Raw genomic sequence first — 7,651 nt, forward strand, 5'->3', positions numbered from 1 at the left:
TGCATACCCTTTTTTCTACCTTTTTATAGTATCCTTTAACAAATCATATGGGCATTCACTGAGATGTTACACCATCAGCCACTTTATCTTTCTCCTTTCCTAAAAATATGTGGAGATAGTTATTGTCAGAATTTTATTATCTCCTGATGTTATTTATTTTAGAGAGTCTTTGGCAAAAGAATATATAACTTTTTTTTTTAAGAGAAGGGGTCTCATTATGTTACCCAGGCTGGCCTTGAACTGCTGGGGTCAAGTAACTCTCCTGCCTCAGCCTCCCAAGTGGCTGGGATTACAGGCACCTGCCTTCTGTAATGCTTATTGCCTTCTATATATCTGTAGCACTTATTCTTCTGTAGTCAGCCTTCCTTTTCTTTTATTTTCGTAGCTTAAGTCCCTTAGTTGTTTCCTTTTGAAGGTTTACAACACATCCTTGTTACCGGCTGGTTATTTTTTTGCTGGACAGAATTAACTCTGGAGTAGCAATTTAATGTTTTATCCTCCATCTTTTGAAAAATATTGTCAAAAGATGGAGGATAGAACATTATCCTCCATCGTCAAGAAATTTTTATTTGTACTGAAGGAAGCTTCCATGATAGTCCATTTGGTTTCACTAGATACAAAGGAATACCTGAGGCTGGGCAATTTATAAAGAAAAGAGGTTTATTTGGCTCATGGTTCTGCAAACTGCACAAGAAGCATGGCATCAGTAACTGCTTCTGGTGAGGCCTCAGGAAGCTTTTATTAATGTCAGAAGGCAAAGGGGAGCTTGTGTGTCACATGGTGAAAGTGGGGCAAGAGAGACAGGAGGGAGGTCCCAGACTTTTTAACAACCAGATCTCATGTGAACTCCTTACTGCTGGGAGGGCACCAAGCCATTCAGGAGGGATCTGCTCCCATGACCTAAACACCTCCCAGTAAGGCCCCACCTCCAACTTTGGGGATCATATTTCTTTCTTTTTCTTTTCTTTTCTTTCTTTCTTTCTTTTTCTTTCTTTCTTTTTTTTTTTTTTTTTTTGACAGACTCTTGCTCTGTCATCTAGGGTGGAGTGCAGTGGTGCAATCCCAGCTCACTGCAAACTCTGCCTCCCAGATTCAAGCAATTCTTCTGCCTAAGCCTCCCAAGTAGCTGGGATTACAGACCTGCACCACCATGCCTGGCTAATTTTTGCATTTTTAGTAGAGATGAGGTTTCACCTTTTTGACCAGGCTGTTCTCAAACTCCTGACCTCAAGTAATCTTCCCACCTTGGCCTCCCAAAGTGCTGGGATTATAGGCATGAGCCATCGCACCTGGCCCACATATTCTTTTTAAAAAATCTGAGCATGTTTCAATTTTACTCCACATATTTTTCTATCTTCACAGGGAATGCATCCCAAATGCAACAAATAATATGCTTTTCACATTCCATTATGCATATTTTTGCAGAAAATGAATGTTATTCTCAGAAGAGAACTCAAAAAGGATTTCTATGAAGTCTCTGGCAGAAAACCGAGAAATTACAAATGCAAGTGGTATTTTCATTTTCCTCTTTTAAAGACCACGATGTAACATGAGAAAACAAAATACCAGAAGTGAAAGGCTGACTCCACTAAAGATGTTCAATAATGAGATTTGATTTTTTAAAAAACACATCTTTTATGGGCTTTCAGGGCATGGAAACAAGATCAAGAAAGGTGTTTTTCTGGAGACTTTCCAATCAAAGCAATGAAGATTTAAAGTGGAATAAAAGGTAAATGGAAAAAAATACAGTAAGATATGAAAAGATGATTCCTTGAAAGACATCAGAAACCAAGCCAGAAGAAGAGCAGTGGTAAAGATTCACGGGAATTAAGAAAGTTTGAAATAACTGGGAAGTGGTTTTAAATAAAGATATGAATGATTCAAAACTCAGGGAAAAACGGTAATAAAAGAATAAAACAGGCCGGGCGCGGTTGCTTACGCCTGTAATCCCAGCACTTTGAGAGGCTGAGGCGGGCAGATCACGAGGTCAGGAGATCGAGACCATCCTGGCTAACACGGTGAAAACCCGTCTCTACTAAAAATACAAAAAATTAGCCGGGTGCGGTGGCGGGCGCCTGTAGTCCCAGGTACTCGGGAAGCTGAAGCGGGAGAATTGCCTGAACCCGGGAGGCGGAGGTTGCAGTGAGCTGAGATTACGCCACTGCAGTCCAGCCCGGGTGACAGAGTGAGACTCCATCTCAAATAAAAAAATAAAAATAAAAAATAAAAAATAAAAAAAAAGGAGGGGTTGATTTTGCCAAATTTACCTTTTAATTTGTATGAGTTCAAACATCTAATCAGAGGTATAGACAACTTAGCGAAATTTTCTATGACGTGTATGGCACCAGATATTTAAAATCTCGTAACTATTATTTTGACTGGTATGCAGTACATCACATGACCATAAAATTGTCTAAGGAAATAATTAATGCTCCATTGCTTAACTATTGCTTAATTTGTTTCACTTACATTTTCTACTTTTTTTTTTTTTAAAGAAATAAAGAGATAGAGATAGGACATTATCTTAAGTGAAACAAGCCGGGTACAGAAAGACAAATATTGCATATTCTTACCCATAAATAGGAACTAAAAAAGTTTATCTCATGGCGGTAGAGAATGGAATGCTAGTTCACAGAGGCTGGGAAGGGGTAGGATATGAAGAGAAATTGGTTAATGAATTCAAAACTAGAGTTAGACAGAAGGAATAAGTTTTGATAGCACTGTGGGGTGACTACTGTTAATAATGATAGATTGTCTAGAAGAGATGTGAAATGTTCCCAACAGAAAGAAATGATAAATATTCAAGTAGATGCATATCCTAAATACCATGATTTGATCATTAAACATTGTATGCATGTATTGAAATATCACATGTACCTCATAAATATGTATAATTATTCTGTATCAATAAAAAATAAAAAACCCAACTGTTAGAGCTAACAAATATATTTAATGGTATTGCAGGATAAAAATCAACATACAAAAATAAGTTGTGTCTCTATACACTAACAGTGAACTATGTGAAAGGGAATTAGAGAAAACAATCTCATTTACAATTGCATCAAAAAGAATAAAATACTTAACAACTAAATAGATAAAAGACTCAGATCCTGAAAACTACAAGACATTGCTGAAAATAAATTGTAAAGACATCCCATTTTCCTAGAGTGGAAGATTTAATAATGTTAAAATTTTAATACCACCTAAACCAATCTACAGGTTGTATTTAATCCTTATCAATAATCCAATTTTTTATATAAATAGGAAAAACAATCCTAAAATTCACAAAGGACCCCAAATACCCTAAACTGTCTTTAGAAAGAACAAAACTGTAGGCATAACACTTCCTGATTTCAAAGTTGATTGCAAAGCTACAGTAATTAACGTAGTATGGTACCCACATAAAGACAGACACATATAGCAATGCAACAGAATAAAGTGTCCAGAAATAATCCCACACATATATGGTCAACTGATTTATAACAAGGGTGCCAAGAACACATGATGGGGAAAGAACAGTTTTTTTCAACAAAATGGTGTTGGGAAAGTGGATTCCACATGTAAAAGAATGAAATGAGACCTTTATCTTACACCGTATACAAAATCAACTCAAAATGGATTAAAGACTTAAATATAAAACCTGAAACTGTAAAAATCCTAGAAGAAAACAGGGGAAAACTTTGTAACATTAGTCTTGGCAATGATTTCTTGGATATGTCACCAAAAGCACAGGCAACAAAAGTGAAAATAGACAAATGATACTACATCAAACTAAAAAGTTTCTGCAAGCAAAGGAAACATTTAACGTAATGAAAAGCCAACCCATGAAGTGGAAGAAAATATTTGCAGGCCACTTATCTAATTAGGGGTCAATATCTAAAATATATAAGGAACTCCTTCAACTCAATAGCAAAAAGCACATAACCTTATTAAAAAGTTGAAACCTTTGCAGAGCAGTAGTAAATTGAAAAAATAAAAAATAAAAACTGGACAAAGGATTTGAACAGACATTTCTTCAAAGAAGACATACAAATGGCCAATAAGTATATGAAAAGATGCTGAACATTATCTGGGAAGTGCAAATCAAAACCACTTTAAGATATCACCTTATATCTGTTAGGATGGCCATTATAAAAAAAAAAACCAATGTCTCTTGTAAATACCATACAGGTGTGTACTGTCTATTCTATACAAATTGCTAATGTCTCTCTTTTAATTGGATAATTTAGTCCATGTACATTTGTTTTGATGTCTGATAGATTTAACACCTATCATTTTATTTTGTTTTAATTTTTTAATGACATTTATATGATTGAATTTTTGCCTTCCTCTCTTATTACCAAACTTCCTTTTGATTGATTATATTTTCTTTAATCCCTTTACATTCCTTCTTCTATTTGGAAGACATTCATTATTAAAAAATATCTTTCAATGAAATATATTCAAAAAGTGCACATATCATAAGCTCATTGAATTTTCATATTTCACTGCCAGTCACCATTTGTCTTTGAGAGTAATCATTATTCTAACTTCTAACACCATATAGTCTATAATATGTATATTATATATAAAACATATCTACATACATAGATACTTCTTAAACATAAGGAAATATGTTCAGTTTTACTCATAATATGAGAAATGAGAATATGAGAAAGTAAAATTATACTGATACTATTCCTGGCTTATCAGATAAGCAAAAATTCAAAAATCTTGACAACATATTCTGCTGGCAAGATGTGAGATAGCACTTTCGTACACTCCTGGTAGGAATAAAAATTGGTATAAAACTTATAGAGGAAAATTTGACATTATCTAACAAAATTACATATGTTATTACCTTTTGACCTAACAATTCCACTTCTGAGTATTTACCCTGAAAATATATCTCTAACTATATGAAAATGTATATGCACATATTTATTTATTGAAGCATTGTTTATAATTTTACAATATTGGGAACAACCTAAATGTCCATCCATAGGAGGTTGGTTAAATTAACTATGGTACATCCATAGAATGAAGTACTATGGAAGTTTAAAAGAAAAAGATCTCTAAGGCTGATATGAAGTGATTTGCAGAATATGTTGTTAAGTTGGAAAAGCAAAGTTAAATTGTATGAAGTATATATAGCATGCTATCTTTTGGGTAAGAGAGAGAAGGAGATACAAGAAAATATACATATATCTGTTTATTTTTGCAAAAAGAAAAGCAGGAATGAAAAACCCAGAAACCAATAAGATTGGTTACCTACTAGAAGTGAGTGAGAATCAAGAGTTGAGAATGAGGTAGTGATGCCTCCCCAGGTATAATTTTTCATAGAGTTTTAACTTTTGTAATCTTGCTAATATTTTACATACTCAAACTAAACCCACAAAATAAATCTAATAAAAATCAGAGGAATCTAAAATGGAATACAAACAGAAACAAGTGAAACTATTTCAAACAAAAATACAACCACATTGAAGATGGGAGCAATGGACCCAGGTTATTTTTTGATATAGTATTTTGGAAACTTAACCTACGAATAAAGACCAAAAGAACTATACACAAGTACTGAACTTTAATAAGTAGCACTGTTGTTTTTGATGTTGTAAGTTAGTAATATGTTACTGCTTTACATGTTTTTAAGGATTGGGCAACAAATAAATCGAGTGTAAAAGAAGTCTGATTCCTCATTGCTGACAGGAAGACAGCCATGGATTGGGAAAAGATTAGAGTGAATCCTGTGATGTTGGATTGGGATTGAAGATACCGGTATGAATTCACAGCTTGTTCTATCTACCTGCCTGTCAGCTATCTGACTATCTCTCTGTTTATCTATCATCTATCTGTCTATCTATCATCTATTGAACCTATCTATCCACCCACCTATCTATCCCTGTCATCTACCTATGTATGTGTGTACATTTCCCAGCTCTGTGCACTAAGAGGGCCCAAAACAATGATACTCCAGTAGTAGTGAATATACTTAGAAATCTTGATTTCTAAACAATGTCTTCACTAAAATAAATCAAGCCATGTTGGGAAAGAAACTAGCTAGGGCTGGAACAGAAAAGTACAAAATGAGCCTAAGATACAATCTTATGCCAAAAATTAAAGCATGCTAAAAAAAACATGGAGATGTATCAGAAGGATACAGGAACCAGCTTGAAATGGCTCCACTGGTCAAATCTGGAAAAATTTGAGCATCAAAATTATAATAATAATGGATTTAATCTATAGAATAAAGTAAGGACTTATGAGTATATACTGATATAAATAAATGGGGGAAAAGGAAAATCCTATCTTTATAGTAAAATGCCAACCAAGATGTAGAAGGAATAAAGAGTTAAAAGATGACTATTAGGTAACCATCATGGTAATATTTCATTCAGGTAAGAATTATTAATGGATGCTAAACCTATTGTGTGGCAGTTTGATGAGGAGCAGGATATTTATATAGCCTCAAGTTATTTCCCCACAAATTATGTATAAATTACAAAGGGAAAAAAATCAAATTTACAGTGGAAAAACCTGATAGAAACCATCTAATGACATGATCAGTTAAAAATCACCAACAATGAGATGAACTGACATCATGTGCATTCTGATTCTGAAAAAGGCACAGCACAGCTTCTGTGATATTCTTACCAAAAATATGTAGTCTGAATTTAATCATGAGGAAATATCAGACAAAAACAAAATTGAGGGGCATTCTACAAAGTAACTGGCCTTCTATGGGGAAGGTTGTGAAAGACAGAAAAAGAACTATTTCAGATTAAGGAGATTAAAGAGACATGGCAGCTAAATGCAATATATGATCCTGGATTACAGGATTCTGGATTACAATAGTTCTTGGGTTTTAAGGACATTATTAAGACAATTAGTGAATGTTCTTACTCTTAGGAAATACACACTAAAGTATTTAGAGATAATGGGGCACCACATCTACAAATTTACTCTCTAATGATTCTGGCTAAGGAAAAAAATGTGTAAAAATACACATTTAAATTTTTTTGTGACTTTTAAATTAGAAATAATTTTAAACGTACCAAAAAGTTACAAGGATAATACATGGAACTCCATAATATTCTTCTCTCAGATCCTTCAATTGTTAACATTTTATCACATTTGTTTAAAATTCTCTCTTTTGTAGTATTCTTACCTCTAGGTGTGCTTGAAATTATTTCAAAGTAGAAAACCACACAAAATTACAAGAGTCATTTTTTCCTATTTATTTTTGCTTGCTAAGTAGGTTAGCACATGACAGTGGTTAAGAACATTATTTTTAGAGTAAGAAATGCCCACGCTCAAGTCCCAGTTCTTTTGCTCATTGTTGTAGTGATATCCTTCTCTGGGCCTCTGATTCCTAATCTATAAAATGATAAGAATATTGACTTTATTTCATGGATGTGAGAATCTAATAAATGTAAATTACTTAATATAATAACTAGCATATAGTGAGCAGCTAATAATTTTATTATCAGTATTTTTATTTTTGCTTCCTCTGCTTCCCTCATTTCTATGTATCTTTTCATGTGTCTTAATTCAAATAATTTTAGTGCCTACTTTAAAAACCTCATCCTTTTCTTTAACTCTGGGATGTTCAGGACTCATTTCTTTTATGGGAGACTACAGTTTAGCATGCTCAAACATCTGTATATCTTGC

At 33.7% G+C, this 7,651-nt stretch overlaps 1 long non-coding RNA gene across 1 annotated transcript in view; it reads left to right on the top strand.

Moving 5' to 3' along the window:
• Window positions 1-5,653, top strand: part of PDC-AS1 (PDC antisense RNA 1) — a 35,131-nt gene extending 29,478 nt beyond the window's left edge. Inside the window, exons 4-5 of the long non-coding RNA NR_126002.1 lie at window positions 1,650-1,729; window positions 5,633-5,653. This is a non-coding gene — a long non-coding RNA (PDC antisense RNA 1). The remainder of the gene's footprint in view (window positions 1-1,649; window positions 1,730-5,632) is intronic.
• Window positions 5,654-7,651: the final 1,998 nt, after the last annotated feature.

This window comes from Homo sapiens, chromosome 1, assembly GCF_000001405.40.
Source record: "Homo sapiens chromosome 1, GRCh38.p14 Primary Assembly".
NCBI classification, from domain to species: Eukaryota; Metazoa; Chordata; class Mammalia; order Primates; family Hominidae; genus Homo; species Homo sapiens.